The 24,263-nt window shown below is 39.9% G+C and overlaps 1 long non-coding RNA gene and 1 other non-coding gene across 2 annotated transcripts in view; both read left to right on the top strand.

The window, feature by feature from the left end:
• Positions 1-349: 349 nt before the first annotated feature.
• MIR8052 (microRNA 8052) lies at positions 350-418 on the top strand. The gene has a single exon (NR_107019.1). It is a non-coding gene; the product is annotated as a microRNA 8052 (primary transcript).
• Positions 419-6,570: 6,152 nt separating this feature from the next.
• LINC02873 (long intergenic non-protein coding RNA 2873) overlaps positions 6,571-24,263 on the top strand; it is a 44,397-nt gene continuing 26,704 nt past the window's right edge. Inside the window, exon 1 of the long non-coding RNA NR_164144.1 lies at positions 6,571-6,803. This is a non-coding gene — a long non-coding RNA (long intergenic non-protein coding RNA 2873). The remainder of the gene's footprint in view (positions 6,804-24,263) is intronic.

Consider the following 24,263-nt stretch of genomic DNA (forward strand, 5'->3'; position numbering starts at 1 on the left):
GTATAAATGCCTAGTTTATTTTCTGGAGTCCCCTTGGACTGGGTGGGTGGGGATCCAGCCAAGCTAAATCAGGACTGGAACTATGACTTCTTTAAGTTTTACTACACTGATATAGAGTCAGAAACTAATGATCCTGACCTTCTCTGGGATGCAGAAAACCCTTCCTGTGGCCAACAAATTAGGTACAATGCAGGCAGGAGCAGCTTCCCTGGCAATTGGGTTGTATCTCATTGGATATGGCAACTTTGGATAGAGTGGCCTATTATTATTCTGTGGGACAGGCACAACTGGGCATCTGTGGGTAATGAAGGAGGGTGCCAGCCGTAGGAGATCCCTTGTCTCCCTGGTCTGGAGGGCTGCGGGACTGTAGAGGGCATGAGCTCAGGAGCTCAGGCCAGCTCATGGTGCAAGGCCTCTGGAAGCCTTCTCAAAATGGTATCTGATTTAATTAAGACTCTGGCTGAGAATCCAGAGTGCCAGGGCTTGGTGGGCCACACATCCTCTCTTGCAGCCTGTGTGTGGCTTTTCTGGCCACCTCCAGGCTGTCAGGGAGTGCTGTTAGACTTTTAGCCGCAGCCTGCCATCTGGAGGAAAGGAATTGGCCACTTTTCTGCATTTCCTGCCATAAATGGGAAAAAGTATGACAGAATTTTGAGGTTTTTTTTCTACCCTCATGGGGTAGAATGTTTTAATTTTGAATACTTGCACCTCATTCTACAAAGAATCTGAGGTGGCTTATACAAATGCACACAATACAAATGAGTGGAAATAAATAATTGAATGAGTCAGAGTGATGGGAAATACAGTGAGTAAAAGGAAGCCAAGGGTAATTTATTACCCCAAAATGCACACTCCATGGTCCTTGGTGTGTCCTGTGGTTGGGCCATATATTTCCACCTAGGGAGGAAGTTAAAGTCCTAAAATTTTGGTAAAAGCAATTTTAACAAAAGAGTAAACTCATGCAGTCCTTAAATCCAGAAGTCTGTCTTAATTAGGATGAAAAAAATTGTAACTCTAAGTGCGATTTTTTTCATTTTTTGTATTAATTTTAGTATGCTATTTGAGACTATTTATAATATGTGTAAGTTACAAAATATAGTATGATGAACATTTCTGAACCCAGCAGTCAAGCAAAGGACAAGTCCATTCCCAGTAACTCGTATCCACCCTCACTTCTGCTCCTAACCTCCTTCTGTGTCCTGCTTTTCTTTTCCGCACAGAGAGAACCACTATCCTGAATTTTAGAATTATTCTTTTGATTTTTTGTTTTGTTTTATCCCAAATGCATGCATATGTAAATAATATTTTGCCCAGTTTTGCTTATTTTTAGGTTTATTAAAATAATATCTATTAGGTTGATGCAAACGTAATGAGGTTTTTGCAATTACGTTCGCACCAACTGAATAAATCAAAGTCTTCTGGGTTCTTTCCTTTTCCATTCAACATCATGTTTCTAAGATTCCTTAATGTTCTCACACATGTGTGCAATTCATTTTTTTCTACTGCTTTATTATGATACTTTTCATGGATACATTGCCCCTTATCCATTCTCTGCTGTTGACTCTTTAGGTTGCCTTTAGTATTGTACTATTATGAACAAAGGTCCTGAAGTCACTTTTGAATATGTCTCCTGGTGCACATATTCAAGAGTTTCTCTAGGGTGGATACCTAGGAGTAGAATTATGTGGTATGCTTCACAAGATAATGCTGAAATGTTTTCCAAAGCAATTATACAATCTCACCAGTAAAGTATAAACCTTTTCAAATCCTTATTTGACATTGTCAGATATTAATTTTTGTCAATCTAGTGGCATAAAAACTATCTCATTGTGGAAATGCAATTGCGTACCCTTGACTAGTAGGGCAGTGAAGAATCTTTTCATGCTTTTTTTTATGGTTTTCTTCTTGTGTGAAATATTTTAAAAATGTATTTTGCACATTTTATTGGGTTTATTGTCATTTTCTTATTGATTCATGACAATCTTTTAGATATCTTCTCTTAGGCCAACGTTTCATTCTGTATCTCAGGCAGGCCATTTTATTTATTGTAATGGCTTGAATTTCTTTCTGTGTATTGATTACTCACAAATCTAAGTATTCAGCCCAAGATGTTCTTCTGAGCATCACACACATGAATCCAACCAGACACTCAACACCTTTATGTGAATGTCTCACAAGATTGTGAGGCTCAATATGTCCAAAATTGAGTTCAGCATCTTTCCACCCAGGCTGAATTCCTCCATTTTGTCTTCTATCTTAGAGGAATCACCACCAAAAACTCAGGTATCCAAGCTACAAACTTAAGTGTGGTTTTTGACTCTAGCTTCTCCTTTATATGTGATGTCCAATCAATAACCAGGTTCTATGGATAGTAATTTCTAAATGTCCCTTGAGTCTATTCTTGTCTCTGAATCCCCAATGCTGTTCCTTTATTCAATAATCACAGGCACCCCAAATTGCTTCAGGACCCTCCTAGTTGGACTTCTGGTCTGCAGTCAGCATACTGGAGCCGTGGAGATAGCTTTTTAAAACATGCCATGTGGTCAAGTCACTCCCTTGTTTAAAACATTTTAATGGTTCCCCAGGGGGTGGAGGCTGCAGTGAGTTGAGATCACGCCACTGCACTCTAGCTTGGGTGACAGAGCAAGACTCCATCTCAAAAAAAAAAAGTTTTAGTGGTTCCTATTACTTACCAAGGTCCAAACACATCATGGCTTAAAAGACCCTTCATAGTCTGACCCCAGGTCATCTCTCATTCCTCATCCACTGTCATGTCCTCTGCGTGCTTTGTGCACCAGTCGGACCCAGATGTGGCAGAAGCTGCAGATATGGCAGAAGCTGCAGATATGGCAGAAGCTGTCCTACCTGAAAAGATTAATAAAGAAATGTCAAGTAAAAAAACCACATACCACCTGTTCTCACTTTTAAGGGAGCACTAAGCATTAGGTACAGTGGAAATCAAGACGGGAACAATAGACACCGGGGAGTCCAAAAGAAGGGAGGGAGAGGGGCAGGAGTTGAAAAACTACCTGCTGTGCACTGTGCTCCCAAACCTCGGCCTCACACAATCTATCCACATAACACACCTGAATCTAAAACTAAAAAAATAAAATTTGGTTGGGTGCGATGGCTCACACCTATAATCTCAGCACTTTGGGAGGCCAAGGTGGGTGGATCCCCTGAGGTCAGGAGCTCGAGACCAGCCTGATCAACGTGGGGAAACCCCGTCTCTACTAAAAATACAAAAGTTAGCCAGGTGTGGTGGTGCGTGTCTGTAATCCCGGCTACTCCGGAGGCTGAGGCAGGAGAATCACTTGAGCCCGGGAGGCTGAGGTTGCAGTGAGCCGAGATCGCACCACTGCACTCCAGCCTGGGTGACAGAGCCAGACTCCGTCTCAAAAAATACAATACAATAAAATAAAGAATTGTTAAAATGGTAAAAGTCATGTTATGTATATTTTGCCACAGTAAAATAAAAATGGATCAAAAACAAACTTGGGTAAAACAGGGAATCATACAAAAATGACATATACATGTGATATGTATTTTATTTCAACTCAAAACACAGAAATCCATATTTACTCAGCAATGTCTTGAAACAGGGCCAAGACTTCTTCTTAGAATGTAACTTGATTGGTGTTTGGAATCATCTTTTTTGCATAAACCACACCAATAATTGATTATTTATGGTTTCTAATTACAAATGAATCAAGACTTAAGAACACTTATGAAGCAATGTAAGTACATAATTCTTCTACATTTTAAAAACGTTTCCCCCCAAAACTATTAGAGTTGTTTTTTCCATATCTAGTTTGATAGCATTTTCTTTTTAGGACTTAGACTCATGAAGTCTCTTCAAAGCATTCTACCTAGGATAAAAATAGCAACTTTCTTTTGTAATCATGTTTCATGAGTTTATATAATACCTGCTTAAGTCCTATAATTAAAATAACATTAAGTCTGGCATAAACAGTTTTGGGAACAAATACAGCTGACCCTTGCTAAGCATATAACTCATCCGCTGGAGTGGAAGTACACAGGCTCACCGGCCTCGCACGCTCCTGTGCTGTGTGTGCACTCGTCAGTATTTTTTTTTTTTTTAAGACAGAGTCTTGCTCTGTTGCCCAGGCTGGAGTGCAGTGGAGCAATCTTGGCTCACTGCAACCCCCACCTCTCAGGTACAAGAGATTCTCCTGCCTCAGCCTCCGGAGTAGCTGGGATTACAGGTGCCCACCACCACACCTGGCTAATTTTTTGTATTTTTAGTAGAGATGGGGTTTCACCATGTTGACCAGGCTGGTCTCAAACTGCCGACCTCAAGTGATCCACCCGTGTCGGCCTCCCAAGTGCTGGGATTACATGTGTGAGCCACTGTACCGGCCTTTTTTGAAAATGAGTTAATATAAGGGAAGGGTAGTTGAGAGAATGTCTGCTCTATTTGCAGTTCTTTAAATGTTCATCTCCATGTTTGGCTTATGTAGGTCCTTCTGCTCGAGAACCTCTTTCCTAATTATGTTTCCTGCTCATTCTTCTTCATGTCTCAGTGCACTCATCACTCCATCTGATAAGCCTTCTCTGAGGCTCCGGGACTCAGATGCCTCGCTTTGTGCTACTGTGTGTTTCTGTCACTCTCTAGGTTTTCCCAACATTTTGGGGCAGATGATGCTTTTTGGTTGGGTCTGTTCTGCGCCTTGTAAGTTGTTTAGAAGCTGGTCTCCCCAAGATGCCACTAGCACCCTTCCCCCAGTTGCAACACTCAAAAATGTCTTCAGATATTATCAATGTCCCCTTAAGGAACAAGATAGCCCTGGTTGAGAATGACCGCTGTAGATGACAGATGTTCATTGAATGACTGAAGGACCTTAGTTCTGGGATTGCTGCAGAACTGATCAGCAACAAAGCAGCATATAAATTCAGGAAAGTGCTCACGTCCTTTTTAGAACAGTATCTCCATCCTGTAAAATATATTTCAGTGGATTTTTATTTTGGCTCAGTGCTAATAATCTAGGAAGCTGTTTTTACTGCCTACAGGAGAAGAGAGTTAGTGGTATTTTATATAACTTACTCTGTCTCCCCTTCACCTCCATTTGCCATCTGCCAAAATCTTTGGCCCTCAGAGTGGGAAAAATACACTCTACCAGCCAACTGAGATCTACCAAGTGCATCATGGCCAAGTAAATATTGAACTCCCTGCTCCTGACGTTTTTGTGAGAATTGGTTTATATAAGGGGCAGAGCTGTGGAGTGAGGAGGGATGGGTTTGAAGTGCAATTAGACTAGCATCCCTTCCTATTTAACAGTCTTTCTGTACCCCATGAAAGTAAACTCACCAAACTTCTAGGTGGGAACCACTTTCCATGTCTCTGCTATCTATGGGAACTTTACTTATTTGTTTAATAAATATTTTTGGGCACCTAATATGTGTCAGACACTGGCTTAAATACTGGTCAATATGCATATGTTCACGTGATTTGCCAAAAAATCAGTTTCATTTATACGGTTCTTGGCCCCACCTTGAGCTCCATGCTGGGCTGAATCCTCCCTGTCATCCAGTTTATGGCTCCCACAATTTGAGAAAAGGTTGGGAGGTGATTCAGAGACAAAGAAGTGGTTAAAAGGCTGGCTGTGTCTGTTGAGGAATTACAGAGAACACCCACTGGGGCTGTCTTCTGAGGGAGAATCAGCATGAGGTGCATGTCTCATCTAGAAAAAGGGTCTCATACAGATTTTCAGAGCTTGGTTCTCCAAGTCCACGCGGCATAGAGAAGTGTCAGGCGTGAGGGAAACAGGTGAGACGTGGCAGAGCACTTCCTGACATACCTGCTGTCTCCCACCGAGTGAGGGGTGGTTCCCGGACCCACCCTGTGACCGGGCACTGGCTGCCTTGCCATGTGTGTGCTGGCACCTTGGGCTTCAGGGCCTGGGGAATTGTCATGGCAAATCCCTACCTGATAAAACTGCTGGGGGGAAAACAGGCTTTGATGCACATTCCCAGGACTCACTGCTGAGGATTGTGATTTTTTCCTGTGAGCTGTTGGCAGAAGCAGGCTCTATGACTAACCTCAGAAGGGCAAGGGAGCTTTCTGTTAACTGATCGCCTGCAGAGGATCAGAGAGGAATTCCTGCTGGACTCCCTGCTCTGGTCCACCCTGGCCTCGTTTTCCATCTCTGGATCCTTCCAGCCGTGCAAACATACACAGTGTTGCCATGGCGACTCTGGGACAGACACATGCATGAGAGAAAAGCGTGAGGCAAAATCTCTCCTCTGATGATTTGCTGGGAGGGAAGGAGGCCTTGAACAGGTTTCAAAAGCACCTTGTTTCACCCCCTGATTTTCACATGAGAGCGGCTACCCCAGCCATAAACACAGTGGCCTCTTTTCTTCTGCTTTGCTTGCTGAGGCGACTGCAGCTCTGGGAGACCTGAAGAGGCTCCAGGATGAAAGAGCCTCCCACCCTTAAACCCACCCATAGAATGGGTTGCCAGTCATCAGGTGGGGACACCATTGGATGGTGGATGATCAGGGCTGTCCCTGGTTATTAAACTCATTATGCTTTCACCAGGACCCCTCACTTGTCCTTGTGAGTTTCTGACATGGTCCTCCTCTGTCTCTTCCTCGCCAGCTTGGCTGCCACCCCTCGGGCTGGGGTCACTGGGGCATGGCCCACCAGCGGCCTCTCCATTCTGGCCCAGCTCCAGCCGTCCTGTGAGCTCAGGTGGACTCAGCTTTCCAGGTCATCTTGGAGGGATCTGGTCATGACCACATCACTCTGGAGTCTGGCTTATTTCCAGCATTTTTCCCAGGTGAAATCAGGCTTAAATGAATATTATGCAGTGACAGGAAAAACAGCTGCTGCCTGAAGAACACACACAGCAGAAGAGAAATGATGGTGGCGATGGAGGTGGGGTAGATGTTCAGTGGGAGGCCCTGGAGGCGGGGGTGGGGTTGGGGGAACAAGGGTAGGGTTTGTCAGCCCCCACCATGCTGGGTGTGTCCCAAATGCCTGTTCTGACTACTTGGTAATGTTTTTTGGGTGCTGTGCTGAGAAAGCCTGCGAGGCTGCATGAGGTTCCGCAGTAGAGAGCCCTGGTGCTCCATGACCAATGCCTGTGACTGGTGCAGCAAGAGGGACGTTCCTCTGCTGAAATGAATGAGTGCATCTTCCCTGAAGGTGGGTGTGGAGAAAGTCCATCACCAGGGTCCTGTTTGGAGGAGAAGCAGCAGATCTGAATGAATCAACTTTCATCAAGTCACCCCATGGTTCTAGGAGAGCCAGTCCACTTTGTCATCAAGCTCCAAATTCCCTGGCTGGCACTTTCGGCCTCTGCTTTGACCTGGCTCAGAGAAATTTCAGCTCCTGTTCTCAGCATGCCCCTCCTGCTGTGGTAGGGCATGTTGCCTTCTTGGTCCTTGAAGGTAGCACCCAACACCTGTTTCCATGCTCTAGTCCAAGGCCTGCTCTCCTTCCTCTGGCTTCCTGACATCCCTTGCATTGAAGGCCAAGTTCAGGACCATGTCCTCCACACACCTTGTGGACAGCTCCACCCGTGGTGGTCTCTCCTCTTCTGCCCTTTTCTCTGTAGTCTGTGCATTCCAGATCAGCACATGAGCTCTCTCCCCTGGCCTCCTTTGTGTTAGGCACAGATGGGAATCCAGGGCAGAGATGATGTTCTGCCCTTACTACCTTGCAGCAGACAGGATCAGACTTGTGGGACCTGCTTGGTTACCTACCACCTGCTGAGATTCTATTTTCTTTTATAATTTTATATTGTACATGTAGCACACTCTTGGTTGCTTACCCAGTGTGCGTTCCTCTTCTCTGCCTTGGTCACAGAACCCAATTTTATTTCAGTTAGTGTGATGCCCCGTTAAAAGGTATCCTTTCCATTTTATTATAAAGCTAAGAGTTAACATTGAAATGTGAGCAAACATGGACAGAGATGGATGTGTTACACATGTTTTCTCCCAATGTGTAGCTTGTCTTATTTTCTTAACAATGTTTTCCAAAGACTAAAAGCCTTTCATTTTGATGAAGTCCAATTTATCGCTTTTCTCTTTTCTAAGTCATGTTTTCTGTGTCATATCTAAGAAGACTCTGTCTGACCCATAGTCACAAAGATTTTCTTCTAGGGTTTTTGTAGTTTTAGCACTTAGTTGTAGGCCTATGATCCATTTTAAGTTAATGTTTAGATATGGTGTGTGGTAAGCATCAAGGTTCAATTCTTTTTCTTAATGTATTATTGTTATTATTTTTGAGACAGAGTATGGCTTTATTGCCCAGGCTGGAGTGCAGTGGTGCAATCACAGCTCACCGCAGCCTCAACCTCCCATTGTATTTTTGTTTTTGCAGTTGTTCCAGCACGATGTATTAAAATAACCCGGAGTTTAACCTAGCATTAGAGACCTCTGTGGATTTGCTTAGGGAGCTCCAGAACAGTTGAAGTGGCATGGAACTTTTTGTGTGTATGTGCTCGTGTGATTTGGGGATGGAAGGATGGTGGAAGTGGAGATGACTCACAGCTTTCACCAGATTCTGGAAGATGCCCTGTCTCCCAGAAGCTTAAACATCTCCACTGTAATGTAACAAGGCCTTTTTCTTCACCTCACTGAACAAAGGGAGCTACAGAGGGGAGAAAGGGATGTCAAAGACTGCGTGTGAGCTGCTTTTGAGTTCCTGGGAAGAAAACAATATGAACTTTGGGGAGTAAGCCTGTACAAACATACACAAATTATTCTTAATAATAGCATTAAAGCCAAGGCAGTAAAACTTTGTTAAATCTGATACTAGGCATCTTTCACACAGCACATAATTCAAAGCAACTCCATGGCTGTTTTAAGTTCATTCTTCTGGGCTGCTGTGTTTTAAATAGATGAACCTTACTGAGCAAGAGAGTTTAAAACCTAAGTTGAAAATGAAATTTTAATTAAGGGGATTTTGTGACTATGGCTAGAATGAGTACTCTGCATTCAGGATCTTATAGTCCCCAAATGTCAACTAGGTCTAATCACCAGAGATCACTGGCCCCCTCACTCTACTGGATTGGTCACAAGGCTCTGAAAACATGAGCTGCTTAACTCCCAGAGCTGCAAAATGTCGGTTTCCCTGGGCTAGAGCAGCAGCAGCCACTTCCCCACGAGGGTGAGGAAATTCAATATCTTCCTGATGGGAGACAGAGCCAGACTCCCACCGGCTGTTCTTTCACTCTAGCAGCTGCTTGCCCCACATTTTCCACGTTTCTGGTCAGGCCGCCCATCAGCCGACCCTTCCAAGTCACCGCTTCCTGAGAGCCCTCCAGTGTGACTCAGACCAATCCCATGGGGCTCCCTTGAGCCGTGGAAGGCGCAGAACCAGAGAGCTGGAAGGAATATTGGACACGAGCTGCTCTGAGCCCTTTCATTTCCAGAGAAGAAAATTGAAGCCCAGAGAAATAAGGCCAGTTGCCTGAGGTCACACAGTTAGAGGTAGAACTGAAACTAGATGCTGGGTTATCCTGACGTGAGGCCAACATTCTTTTTATGATAGTCGGAGTAGAAAAATGGAAAAAAGCACAAACTTAGGGCTCAGACATACCTAGGTTTGGATTCTGACTTTTTGTTCACAATCTGTGGAACTCTGTGAAAGGCACTTTACCTTTCTAAGCTTTAGTGCCCTCACTGGAAAACAGAGATAAATATGCGGCAAATATTAAGTTCCTTTTCTGGACTGGCACATGCTATTTTTGGTTCTGAGTACATAGCTGGGAATGAAACAAACCAAGCCCCTTGGCCCAAGGCATAGAACTTACATCCCAGTGTGTGAAGGATAATATCAGTGCTTCTGAGGTTATTGTAAGGATTCAAAGAGACAAAAAATGTGAATGTAAGCCCAGTTCCTGGCAGAGTAGATATCTAATAAATGGTAACAGCAATTACAATTATTACTTTATGTTCCAAATGTCAGTCTCCACAAAGAAGGCCAACTCCTGGGGTATAAGGGTTCCGTCTCAGTTTCCTTACCAGTACCCCAGTATATAGGACCCCCAGGAAGCCCTGACAATCTTTGGTGCTCAGAGTCCTGCCCTAACCTACTGTCAAACCCTTAGTTCTTGCTTCTGAATTCATCCGACAACCTATTGACTGATCTGTATGCTACCTTTATTTCTCTGCTGGGACTCCTTTGGAGAGCCTGAAAGGTGGTCTTGCTGGGATTGGAGACCCCCTGTCAGCCCACTTTGTCCTGCAGCTCGGATCATCCCAGTGGCCTGCTTAGCTCCTTTGTGCTCCCCTGGCTTCTGAGCCACAGCCATTAGATACTGGCTCTGGCCTGCCATTTGGCTCCTGACCCCTCATGTGGGGTTGGTTTTCTCTCTCCTGCCCAGCCCCAGCCCTGCCTGGCCCCTCTTGAGCTGCCAATGATTCAATTCCTCTTAATAGTCCAGCAAAAGCCCTTAGAGCTGGAAGCAGTTATACCCTGCCTTGGTCTCAACCATGGCGAAGCCCATGGTCCATTCTGAAGTAACAAGACTCACACGTAGGGAGAGAAGCCCTTGACTTCAAGGAACCACCCACTCTGTACTCTTCCCACCCTCCCCTCACATATGAAGCAGGGTGAGCCATGACTTGGGTTGATGGGTGTCATGGCAGCTTTTAGAAAGGAGAGGAAATGGGAATTTGAATGACCCATGTACACATAGCGGAATGCTGCAATCACATGCCTTTCCTCTCACTGCCAAATCTCAGTGGTGTTCTTACAAATTTTTCCTAATATATTCCTAATATATCCCCATTCAACTCCCAGGCTCTCCAAAGCAGAGGATATTGGGACTGGAAAATGAGCAATATATGTTTAAGGGAGTATGTTTCTGTATAAGAAGCCGATTTCTGAATAGTTCATCCCTCCTCGTCTTCTCTTTAGTAAAGATAACTGAGACTCAGGTAATGATGGCCAAGAATTATGAAGCACTCAGAGATCCTGTTCTAAGTAGTTTACATCTATTAATTTATGTAAGCCTCAAAACAACCCTATGAGGTAGGCACTATCAACATTCACTTTATTTCAGAGGAAGAAACCAAAGCACCAAGAGCTTAAGTAATTCGTCTTAGGACACAGAGTAGGGATAACAATGCTGGCAACCTGGCTCCTGAGCCATTATGCAGTACCACCTATGATCTACTTTCTGTTTAGTAGCCCAAACAAGAGAAATGTCTTTTATCTTATCTCAGGCAAGAGCAGTAATTTAACACGAGTATGCATTCCAGCCACATTTTGTTGTCAGAAACCGTTACCAGGGGCAGCAATGGAATGTGAGGCATGATGGTATGTGCCAGGCTGTGGTTTCTCTCCCTGTTGCATCAGGACACCTCCTTTCTCTCTTCCCTTGGAAAGTTAGGCAGCAGCCTGCTGTCTCTCCTCAGTGGCAGCCTCTGTGCATCCAGCTGGGGAGGCCCTCTCTTTGCTCAGATTGTCTCTTTTCAAAAGAACTTGGTTCCCAGAAGATTTGTAAATCAAGGTGTACTTGAAGGGGAAGCAATCATTCTGATTGGTAAATCGGGGATCAGGAACTGAGCAAGCGCAGCTCAGCCCCTCCCCTCTCTTCATGCTCCTTGTATCTACCTGAGGCACTAACATTCTGCTCTGCTTCTGCAGCAGAGATTTTAGAGGGTAGGTTCTGCTTTTGCTGATGGGCTGGAACTGCTATGGCTGAGTGGTTAAGTCTGTTGAATTTCAGAACTTGGTGTTAGGAAGCCTGTTATTGCTGCAAATTTAGGTTACGTTTTCGAACAGTTTTGTCAGTAATTAAGTTGATATTTGGATCTTCCAGTCTCAGTTGGTTCTAAACACAGACAAAGAAAAGAGCAGGTAATTATTGTTCACCCCTCATTCCTAACCATTTCCTTTCCTATCACTGCAGTTGGCTGAATTGGTCAAGAGATATAGTTCAAAAATACATAGGTACATTTACACAAATATATGTAGAGAGCTAAAAACCAATAATCACAAGTATTTCAAGGAAGGTTGCATGTGGTGGTTTCATTACTTCTATCAGCTGAGTCTACTGTGTTTGAAAGCTAAAATCTGAGAAGGCTGAGTGTTCCAAAGTAAATTATCTATTGTCTGTGGGGCTAAGTTGTCTTTTAAAGCTGTCTTTTCAAGTAGGCAGAATGGATTGCAGAAATAGGAAAAGAGCAGTGGTAGTGCCAAAAGAATGCTGGTCTTGGGTCAAAAACAAATATAAGCTTTGATTAGCCTAGATTTGGTGACCCCATAACTTAGCACACAGGAAATAATTAATTAGAAAGATAAATAGGTATGTGTCATTTAAAATAATGTGTTCACTGCCACAATTTATATAAAATAAATACCATGTTCCCAGGTTTCTATTTATAACAGGCATTTTCACATTCACCACCTCAGTTATTATCATGACCAACATTTTGAGGAAGCTGAGAGGCAGAGATTGAGGTTAAGGGACTCATATAGAATCATATAGCAAGACAGGAGATCTGAACTCATGTTTATTCATAGCAGGGTATATCGTCTTTCCATTATATGATGCTATGGACACAAAATTGCATTAAGTGTGGACATAGTCACTAGTTTTAGGAAACTTAACACTTGAACTGAAAGGATAACAATACACCCATGATAAGAAATTAACAACCAAATATGTTCAAAGAGCTAAAGGAAAACATAAACAAAAAACTAAAGAAAATCTGGAAAACAATGCAAAACTAAAATGAGAAGATGGAAAATATATAAAGGAACAAAACAGAAACTCTGGAGCTAAAAATATTGTAACTGAAGTAAAAATTTTAATAGAGGGCTTTAATAGCAGATTTGAGCAGGCAGAAGGAAGACTAAGTGGATGTGAAGATAGGACAATTGGAATGATCAAGTCTAAGGAACAGAACAAAAAAGAATTTTAAAAAGTGAAAAGAGCCTAAGGGTCCTGTGCACACCATCAAGTGGACCAACATATGCACTGCGCGAGTCCCAGAAGGAGAAAAGAGAGAAATTAATAGAAAGGTTATTTGATGACACAATGGCTGAAAATTTCCCCACTTTGATGAAAGATATGAATCTACAAATCCAAGAATCTCAACAACTTCAAGTGCAATAAACTCAAAGAGAATCACACTGACACGTTATCATCAAACTCTTGAAAGTGCAAGACAGAGAGAATCTTGAAATCAGCAAGAGATTGTGATTCATCATTGTATTAGTCCGTTTTCATGCTGCTGCTAAGGACATAGCTGAGACTGGGCAATTTACAAAAGAAAGAGGTTTATTGGACTTACAGCTCCATATGGCTGGGGAGGCCTCACAATCATGGCAGAAGGCAAGGAGGAACAAGTCACATCTTACATGGATGGCTGCAGGCAAAAAGAGAGCTTGTGTAGAGAAGCTCCTGTTTTTGAAACCATCAGATGTCATAAGACCCATTCACTCTCATGAAAACAGCACAGGAAAGACCTGCCCCCAAGATTCAATCATCTCCCACTGGGTCCCTCCCCCAACACATGGGAATTATTGGAACTTCAAGATGAGAGTTGGGTGGGGACACAGAGCCAAGCCATATCAATCATGCACATCAAGTCCTCAATAGAATTATTAGCTAATTTTTTATTAGATAATTTGAAGGCCAGAAGGCAGTGACCTTAAAATGCTGAAGGAAAAAACTTGAAAACCAAAAATTGTGTATCTGGCAAAACTGTCCTTTAAAAATAAAAGGGAAATTAAGACATTCTAGTAAACAAAATCTGAAGGAGCTCATTTAAACTAGCACTGCCCAACAAGAAATGCTAATAGGAGTTCTTTGGAATGAAATGAAGGAATGCTAAATAGCAACTCAAAGCTGTATGAAGAAATAAAGATATCCAGTAAAGGTGAATATATGGGCAAATATAAAAGCTGATATTATCATCATTTTGACTGATATTTTTACTTTTTATTTTCTATAGAATTTAAAAGACAAAGGAATAAAATAATTGTAAATTTCTTAATTAGACAATACATAAAGATGTAATATGTGACATCAATAACATAAAAGAAGAGGGCAGAGCTACATAAGATTAGTTTTGGTATGTGATTAAGGTTAAGCTGGTATAAATCTAAATTAAATTGCTTCAACTTTAGGATATTATATATGACTCCCATGGTAACCACAAAAAAATGTATCTGTAGACTATACAAAGAAGGAAATGAGAAAGGACTCAAAATGTGTCACTACGAAATATCAGCTAAACCCATACAAGGCAGTAATGGAAAAAATAAAAGACAGAAAGCATTTGCAAAATGGCAAGAGTAAGTTCTTTCTAATCAGTAATTACTTTAAATGTAAATAGATTAAGTTCTCCAGTAAAAAGGCACAGATCAGTAGAATGGACTATAAAAAAAGATTCAACTATATGCTATGCGCAAGGGATTCACTTTAGATCTGAGGAGACAAATAGGTTGAAAGTGAAAGAATGGTAAAAGATATTCTATACCAGTAGTCACCAAAAGAGAACTGGGTGGCTGTATTAATTCCAGGCAAAACAGACGTTAAATCAAAAATTGTTCCAAAGGCAAAAAAGTATGTTGTATATTGAAAAAAGAGTCAATTATCAGAGAAACATAACAATTGTAAATATATATGCATCAAGCATCAGTGTTCCAAAATACATGAAGCAAATATTGACAAAATTGAAGGGAGAGATAAATAGTGTTACTCCAACAATAGTTGGAGACTTCAATATTCCACTTTTAATAATGGGTAGAACAATCAGATAATCAGTAAGGACATAGAAGACTTGAACAACACTATAAACCAGGTAGACTTCACAGACATACATACAAAGAATATCACCCAACAATAGCAAAATATACATTTTTCTCAAGTATACCTGCAACATTCTCCAGGATAGATCATATGTTAGGCCCCAAAATAAGTCAATACATTTAGAAAGATTCAAATCATACAAAGCATCTTTTCTGATCACAATGAAAACTAGAAACAGAAGGAAAACTGGAAAACAGAAGGAAATATGTGTGGAAACTAAACAACACACCTTTTTTTCTTCTAACCCAAGAGTTCATCACAGCTTTATTCACAGTAGCCAAAAATAGGTAAAAATCCAAATAAATTTTCATCAACAGGTGAATTGCAGTCCATCCATACAATGGACTTGTTTTGGACAATGAAAAGGATCAAATACAGACAGAAAACAACATTGATGAATATGAAAAAGATGGCATGCTGAGTGAAAAAAGCCAGACACACAAGGCTACCTCCTGGGTAAATCTATTTACACGATGCTCAATGACAGGCCAAACTAATCTATGGTGGAGAAAATCCAGAACAGTGGGAGCCAGTGGCAGTGAATGTGGATATAAATGAGATGGAGCATGAAAGATCCTCCCAGATCAATGATGGACACACTTGTTAGCTGTCCATGAGAGGTACAATTATGACTGAAGGATGTTATTGAATGCAAATTATTAAATAGCCATTAATAACCATTCATCAATAGTGGCAAACACTAAATACAAGCAAATACCAAATACTAGTAAACTAAGTTCAGGAGCATTTTTTAAACTTTTCTTTTAAACATGTACACCAAATCCCAGTGACACGCAATTTACCTATATAGCAAAACTGCACATGTACCACTGTACCATGCAGTTTCATTATATAGGTAAATTGCATGTCACAGGGGTTTGGTGTACAGATTGTTTTGTCACCCAGGTAATAAATACGGTACCCAATAGAAGTTTTTCAATCCTCACCCTTCTACCACCCTCTACTCTAAAGTAGGACCTGGTGTCTGTTGTTTCCTTCTTTGTGCCCATGTGTACTCAATGTTTAGCTCCTACTTATATGCGAGAACATGCAGTATTTGGTTTTCTCTTCGTATGTTAGTTCACTTAGCATAATGGCCTCCAGCTTCATCCATGCTGCTGCAAAGGGCAGAATCTTGTTCTTTTTTATGGCTACATAGTATTCTATGGTACATATGTACCATATTTTCTTTATCCAGTCTACTGTTGAGCATTTAGGTCGATTCCATGTCTTTGCTATTGTCAATAGTGCTACAATAAACATACACATGCATGTGTCTTTATGGTAGAATGATTTATATTCCTTTGGGCATATATCCAATAATGGGATTGCTGGGTTGAACGACAGTTCTGTTTTAAGTTCTTTGAGAAATTGCCAAATTGCTTTCCACAGTGGCTGAAGTAATTTACACTCTCACCAGTAGTGATTAAGCCTTCCCTTTTCTTTGCAACCTCACCAGCATCTGCTATTTTTTGACTTTTTAATAATAGCCATTCTGACTGCTGTGAGATGGTATCTCATTGTGGTTTTGATTTGCATTTCCGTAATGATCAGTGATGAGTGTTTTTTCATATGCTGGTTGGCTGCATGCATGTCTTTTTTTGAAAAGTGTCTGTTCATGTCTTTTGCCTACTTTTTAATGAGGTTGTTTGTCTTTTGCTTGTGTTACAAATTTTGTTTAAGTTCCTTATAGATTCTGGATATTAGACCTCTGTTGGATGTATAATTTGTAAATATTTTCTCTCATTCTGTAGGTCGTCTGTTTACTCTATTGATAGTTACTTCTGCTGTGCACAGTCTCTTTAGTTTAATTAATTCCCGTTTGTCAATTTTTGTTTTTGTTGCAGTTGCTTCTGTCATCTTAATCATAAAATCTTTGCCAGGGCCTGTGTCCAGAATGGTACTTTCTAGGTTTTCTTCTAGGGTTTTTATAGTTTTAGGTTTTACATATAAGTCTTTAATCCATCTTAAGTTGATTTTTGTATGTGGTGTAAGGAAGGTGTCCAGTTTCAATCTTCAGCATATGGCTAGCCAGTTATCCCAGCACCATTTATTGAATAGGGAGTTCTTTCTCCATTGCTTGTTTTTGTCAACTTTGTTGATGATCAGATGGTGGTACGCATGTGGCTTTATTTCTGGTTCTCTATTGTGTTCCATTGGTCTATGTGTCTGTTTTGGTACCAATATCATGTTGCTTTGGTTACTATGGCCTTGTAGTATAGTTTGAAGCCAGGTAATGTGATGCCTCCAACTTTGTTATTTTTGTTTAGAATTTCTTTGGCTTTTCGGCTCTTTTTTGGTTCCATATGAATTTTAAAACAATAGTTTTTTTTATAATTCTGTGAAGAATGTCATTGGTAGTCTGATAGGAATAACACTGAATCTGTAAATTGCTTTGGGCAGTATGGCAATTATAACAATATTGATTCTTCCAATCTATGAGCATAGAATGTTTTTCCATTTGTTTGTGTCATCTCTGATTTCTTTGAGCAATGGTTTGTAATTCTCATTACACAGATTTTTCACCTCCCTGGTTAGCCATATACCTAAGTATTTTAATCTTTTATGGCTATTAAGAATGGGATTGTGTTCTTGATTTGGTTCTCAGCTTGGATGTTGTTTGTGCATAGAAATGTTGCCGATTTTTATATATTGATTTTGTATCCTGAAATTGCTGGAGTTGTTTATCAGATCTAGGAGCTTTGGACAGAGACCACTGGGTTTTTTAGTTACGGAATCATATCATCTGCAAACAGAGATAGTTTGACTTCCTGTCTTCCTGTTTGGATGCCTTTTATTTCATTCTCTTGCCTTATTGCTCTGGCTGCCCATTCAGTATAATGTTGACTATGGATTTGTCATAGATGGCTTTTATTATTTTGAGATATGTTCCTTCAATGCCTAGTTTTTTGAGGGTTTTAGCATGAAAGGATGTTGAATTTTATCTGCATCTATTGAAATGATCATGTGCTTTTTGTTTTTAGTTCTGTTTATGTGATGAATCACATTTATTGATTTGCATATGTTGAATCAACCTTGCATCCCAGGGATAAAGCCCACTTGATCACAGTGGATTAGCTTTTTGATGTGCTGCTGGATTTGGTTTGCTAGTATTTTGTTCAGGTTTTTTGTATCTATGTTCATTAAGGATGTTGGCCTGAAGTTTTCCTTTTTTGTTTTGTCTCTGCCTAGTTTTGGTATCAAAATGATGCTAGCCTCATAGATTGAGTTAGGGAGGAGTACTTCGTCTTCAATTTTTTTTGGAAATAGTTTCAGCAGGAATGGTATCAGCTATTCTTTGTACATCTGGTATAATTCAGCTGTGAATCTGTCTGGTCCTGGGCTCTTTCTGGTTGATAGACATTTTATTACTATTCAATTTTGGAACTCATGATTGGTCTGTTCAGGGTTTCAATTTCTTCTTGGATTAATCTTGGGAGGTTGTATGTTTCCAGGAATTTATCCATTGCTTGTGGATTTTCCAGTTTGCATGCATAGAGGTGTTCATAATAGTCTCTGAGGGATTTTTTGTATTTCTGTGGGTTCAGTGGTTATGCTCGTTTGTCATTTCTGATTGCACTTATTTGGATCTTCTCTCTTTTTCTCTTTATTAGTCTAGCTAGTGGTCTATCAATCTTATTTATTCTTTCAAAGGACAAACCCCTGAATTTGTTGATCTTTTGTATGGTTTATTGCATCTCAGGAGCATAGTAAAAGGATTATACACCTTGATCAAGTGGGTTTTATTCCTACAATGGAAGGATGTTCCAATATCTAAACATCAATAAATGTAATATACCACATTAATAGAATGAAAAAATACACATAATCATCTTAATGTAGAAGAATAATTTGACAAAATTCAGCACACTGTCATGATAAAAAAGACTAAAAGCTAGGAATAGAAGGAAACTATTAGTAAAAGCCATATATGAAAAACCCATAAATAATGTCATACTCAATTGTGAAAGACTGTAAGCTTTTCCTCTAGGACTGCAGGAAGAAGACATGGATGCCTGCTTTTGTTATTTCTATTGAACATAGTATTAGAAGTTCTAGATAAGCAATTAGGCAAGAAGAAGAAATAAAATGCATTCAGATTGGAAAAAAAGAAGTAACATTATCTCTCTTTGCAGCTAATATGATCTTATATGTAGAAAACCCTAAAAATTCCAAACACAAAACAGAGCTAATAAATGAATTCATTAAACTTGCAGGATACAAAACCAATGCATAAAAATCAATTCCATTTTTATTTACTAGCAATGAAGAATCCAAAAAGAAACGAAGAAAACAATTTCATTTCTAATAGTATCAAAAAGAATAAAATATTTAGGGATACATTTAACCAAGGAGGTAAAAGACTTGTATGATGAAAACTATAAATCATTGCTGAAAGAAATTAAAGAAGACATAAACAAGTGCAAAGACATTTCATGTCCATGAATCGGAAGACTTACTATTGTTAAGATGACAATACTTCCCAAAGAAATCTGCAGATGTAATGTAATTCTTATCAAATACCAATGGCAGGTTTCTAAGAAATAGAAAAACCCATCCTAAAATTCACGTGTAATCTCAAGAGACTCTGAGTAGCTAAAATATTTTTGAAAAATAAGAACAAAGTTGGATGAGTCACACTTTCTGATTTCAAAACTTATTTCAAAGTTTCAGAAATCAAAACAGTATGGAACTGGCAACAGAACAGACATACAGATGGATGGAACAGACTAGAGAGTTCAGGAATTAATCTTCTCATATATGGTCAATTGATTTTCAGTAAGGGTGCTGAGAACATTTAATAGGGGAAAGGACAGTCTTTTTAACAAATGGTGATGGGAAAACTGTATATGCACATATAAAAGAATACAGTTGGACCCTACCTAACACCATATACAAAAATTAACTCAAAATACCTAAAGTAATAAACATCTAAATGTAAGAACTAAAACTACAGAGCTCTTAGAAGAAAACATAGGACAAATCTTCATGACACTGCATTAGGCAATGATTTATTGGATATGACATCAAAGCATAGGTAACAAAAGAAAAAAAATAGATACATTGGACTTCATCAAAACTAAAACCCCTTGTGCACCAAAAGGCACTATCAAGAGAGTGAAAAAGCAACCCACAGAATGGGAGAAAATATTCATGAATTACATAGCTCATGAGGGATTAATATCTAGAATATATAAAGAGCCCCCACAGCAACCCAATTCAAAAATGGGCAAAATATCTAAATACTTAGATATTTCTGCAAAGAATATATATAAGTGGCCAATAAGCACATGAAAAGATACTCAGCATCACTAGACATTAGCGAAGTGTAAATAGAAACTGCAGTTAGTCCACTTCATATAGGAGAAATGTTATTTAAAAAAAGGAAAAATAACAAATATTGTTGAGGATGTAGAGAAATTGGAACCATTGCACATTGCTAGCATGAATGTTAACTGTCACGTGTGCTGTGGAAAACCATTTGTTCCTCAGATAATTTAACATAAAATCACCACATGATCTAGCAATTCCACTCCTAGATGTATACCCAAAATTACTAAAAGCAGGAATTCAAACAAATGCTTATACACCAGTTTTCATTATAACTTTACCCATAGTAACCAAAAGGTGGACACAATCCAAATGTCTATTAATGAGATGGATGGATAAACAGTATCTGGTATATACATACGATGGAATATTATTCAGCCTTAATAAAAAATGAAATTCAGCCAAGAAGCAATGGGTCATAATAACTCATTCAAATTCTTTTTTTCTTTTCTTTTTTTTTTTTGTTTGAGACAGAGTCTTACTCTGTTATCCAGGCTGGAGTGTAGTGGCATGATCTCGGCTCACAGCAACCTCTGCCTCCCAGGTTCAAGCGATTCTTGTGCCTCAGCCTCCTAAGTAGCTGGGATTACAGGCATGCACTACCACTCCTGGATAATTTTTTTTTTTTTTTTTTTTTTTTTTTTTGTAGAGACTGGGTTTCAGCATGTTGCCCAGGCTGGTCTTGAACTCCTGACCTCAAATGATCTGCCTGTCTCAGCTTCACGAAGTGCTGGGAATACAGGCATGAGCCACCACTCCCGGCCTCATCCAAATTCTTTTTCCTCATTCTCCTCTGTGGTCAATAGCATCTAGAGTCTTGGCAAGATGGCCAGCTGAGCTTTGTGGTCCGTATGTGAAATCACATGTGGATTCATATGCATAAGCCTTAGAAATAGTATGCTAAGTGAAATAAGCTAGACACAAAAGGACAAATACTATATGATTCCACTTATATGAGTTTCTAGAAAAGGCAAATCCATAGAGACAGAAAGTAGAATAGAGGTTACTAGGGGCTGGGGGCAAGGGTTAAAAAAATATTGGGAGTTATTGTTTAATGAATATAGGGTTTCTGTTTGAAATGATAAAAAGTTTCTGGAAATAGTGGTGATGATTTCACATCATTTTGGGATGTCCTTAATGCCACTAAATTGTAAAATTGTACACTTAAAAGTAGTTATAAGGGTAAGTGTTATGTTTATTTTACCATAGTTAAAAATCTCAAAAAGATTAACTATCACTTAAAAGACAACTATAATGTTATGAGTAATATTTTAATTTGTATTTTCTGAAAAACAATGGATCATCCAAATTCTTTCGCCTGTTCTCCTTTATGATCAGTAGCATCCGTGGCCTTTGCAAGATGGCCAGCTGAGCGTTGTGGGACAGTCTGTCCCATATGTGGGGCAGTTCTGTCATTCCCTCAACTCCCCACCTGCCATATATGTGAGTCTAGCATACAGATATTTGCTTTAAAACATACATATATATATTTAGGTTTTGCAAATTGGGATGTGGACAAACAGTACATATATATAATGCAGCAGCAATTTTTAAAATTACTCCCTCTGAAAAGCAAGTTAAATTGAGGATTCATCTTATAATTAGTGATATATGTAAATTAAAAAGATATACTTGTGACTCCAAAATATGAATGATATGTGAAGGTCATAAAGGACTAACAGAAAGGAACTAATTAAGAAAACAAGTAAGGAAGACTTCTTGGTGCTAACTTCTGGGGCTGGCTAGGAAGTGGCACAAATTAGAAGAAAGGAGTGTTTGCCTTTCAAATAAAGAGAGTAGATTAAGTAGAGAGTATTTCTATACGTGTGTCAAGAAATAATGTCAATCAGCACTAAGATCTTTATAGATGTTCATCCATAACCCTCCTAACAAGAGTATAAGGTGGATATTATCATTAACCCCACTTTACAGATGAAGAAATTCATACACAGAATGAATAATCCCTACAAGGTTTCACAGCCAGTAAGTGGCAGAGCTGTGATTTGAACCCAGGTAGTCTGTCTAGAGTTCACCCTCTGACTACTACTAGCTCTACCTGCTTTGGGTAGGAGTCATTAAAATACAAACAGAAAAAGAAAGAGAAAGGAAATATGTAGTTACTGGATGCTTAAAACTACCAGCAAATTATCATTGAAATTATGTACAAGACACTGACTATTCATTGACCAAGTCCAACACATTGGCTTCAAAGACACTACTGCTTGGGGATATTGAGACAAGTGAATACTAATATAGGAAGTCAGTGTCAATCTGGGAATGCATTAGAGGTGTTACATGTAGAATTTAGCAAGGAGTTAGTCTGAGTATGCCTTATTGTATCTTTGGCAATAAGATGAAAAGTTTAGAGTGTAGTTAATGAATTTATAATGGTCAAACACCACAGCCAAGAAGAATAAAAATTCCTATTACCATGAGTAGGCTAATTCTTATGGGTATATTTTGATCAATGAACAGTGGAAGCACTGTTGGACTTCAGGCCAGTAGTAAGTGAAGGTGCCTCCCTGTGTGTATGTGTGGCGGATCTCTCCAGATGGAATGAATCTCAGTGTGTTTTGGGTGTGGGGATATGAGAACGTCTTGGATATGCAGGAGTTATTATGTAGTCATAGGTGAATTATTAGGTGCTTACTTTCATGATTTTCACTTTCAAATAAGAAAATTGAGGCTTAGAAAAATGAAGTAACTCTCCCGCAACTGCCACCCCAGTACAGGTCTGTCTGACTTGACCCCAGTGCTCTGAACTGAAGTTAAGGCAGTCTGAGTGCTTAGCCAGACATATTTCTGGAGCTTTTCTCCAAAAAGCTTGGCAAGTTTTGTGTTGTGCTTTAGTAAGGGAGGTATTCTCTTGTTCTTTTATGTGCTGATTAATGCTTTAGAGTCATTCCAAAGGGAGGCCTCCAGGGATATAGGACTTCCTGTGTTACCCACAAGCTTGATACGTATATCTTATATGTCTTCATATAATTAGCTGATAAAAATGTTGAATAAGAGATGGCCAGAACTGAGTAGTATTTCAAAATAACCTCAAAAGACTGGAATTAAGGGCCAAAATCAATAAGATGAAATTCAACTGGTAAAATGTCAAGTCCCGACTTGGTTTAAAGAAAAAATCAGTTTACATAAGTATCATGTGGTAAAGACCTGGTTTGAAATTTGGTTGACTGCACACTTAAGATAAACCCACATTGTGAAATAATGAAGAAAATAGAGCTTGAATTCTTAGGTTGCATTACAAGCAGTAGTGACAAGAGCAGGTGAAATGGCAGACCCATTGTACATGGGGCTAGTACCCCATCTAAAAATTATATTCGAGTCTATATAGAGAGAGGCATTGCCAGCCAGATTCTGGTCAAAGGGAGAGGGATGGTGACTGTTGAAAAAATCATGAAAAATAAGGAATAATTCGGGAAACTTGAGGTAGTTATAGAAGGGTCTGAATAAGAGAAGCCTTGAGGGTAGATAAATCACATATTTTCTCTTGGAGCTCACCAGAAATTCTGAATATCTCCCTAGCCAGCAGGCATAGGTGTGGAGAATCATGAGGAAAAGAGAAAGGAAATGGTAGAGGAAAAGGAAAGGGGGCTATCTCAGTCCATCTGTCCCTTTCTAAACCCACACATCATGCTGCCATTTAACTATGTATGTCTTGGGGCAGTGAGGCCTTCACATCCTGGAGTCCCAGTTGGAAATGGGGCTCAAGCTCCTTTTGCTTTCAGCTTCCCACTCGGTCCATCCACCGCCAGTATTCTTTTGCCTGCCCCACCCTGAGGCCAAGACTTGGGTAGGCATTGGTCTCCTGACAGAAAGAACCCATGGAGCAAACTGTCCAGATGCCTGTGTGGTCTGCGCATTAAGGTATTTTGTAATTCTCTATGATCCAAGCTGACCACATATGGTTTCTGATACTTACAGGGAGTGTTCAGAATTTAGAGAGTATCTTTCTTCTTTCAACAAAGTCTGTTGTCCAGCTGAGAACCCAAGAAAGTTATCTTTGATGCTCATTGCATCTTTGTTCTAGTAGATAGATACTTGCCTCTCTTCAAAAGCAATTGGTTCTATAGGTGGGAAGCTTAAGAGAACAATCATTTAAGGAAAATAAAAAATGCATTG

Source organism: Homo sapiens, chromosome 11, assembly GCF_000001405.40.
Source record: "Homo sapiens chromosome 11, GRCh38.p14 Primary Assembly".
Taxonomy (NCBI): Eukaryota; Metazoa; Chordata; class Mammalia; order Primates; family Hominidae; genus Homo; species Homo sapiens.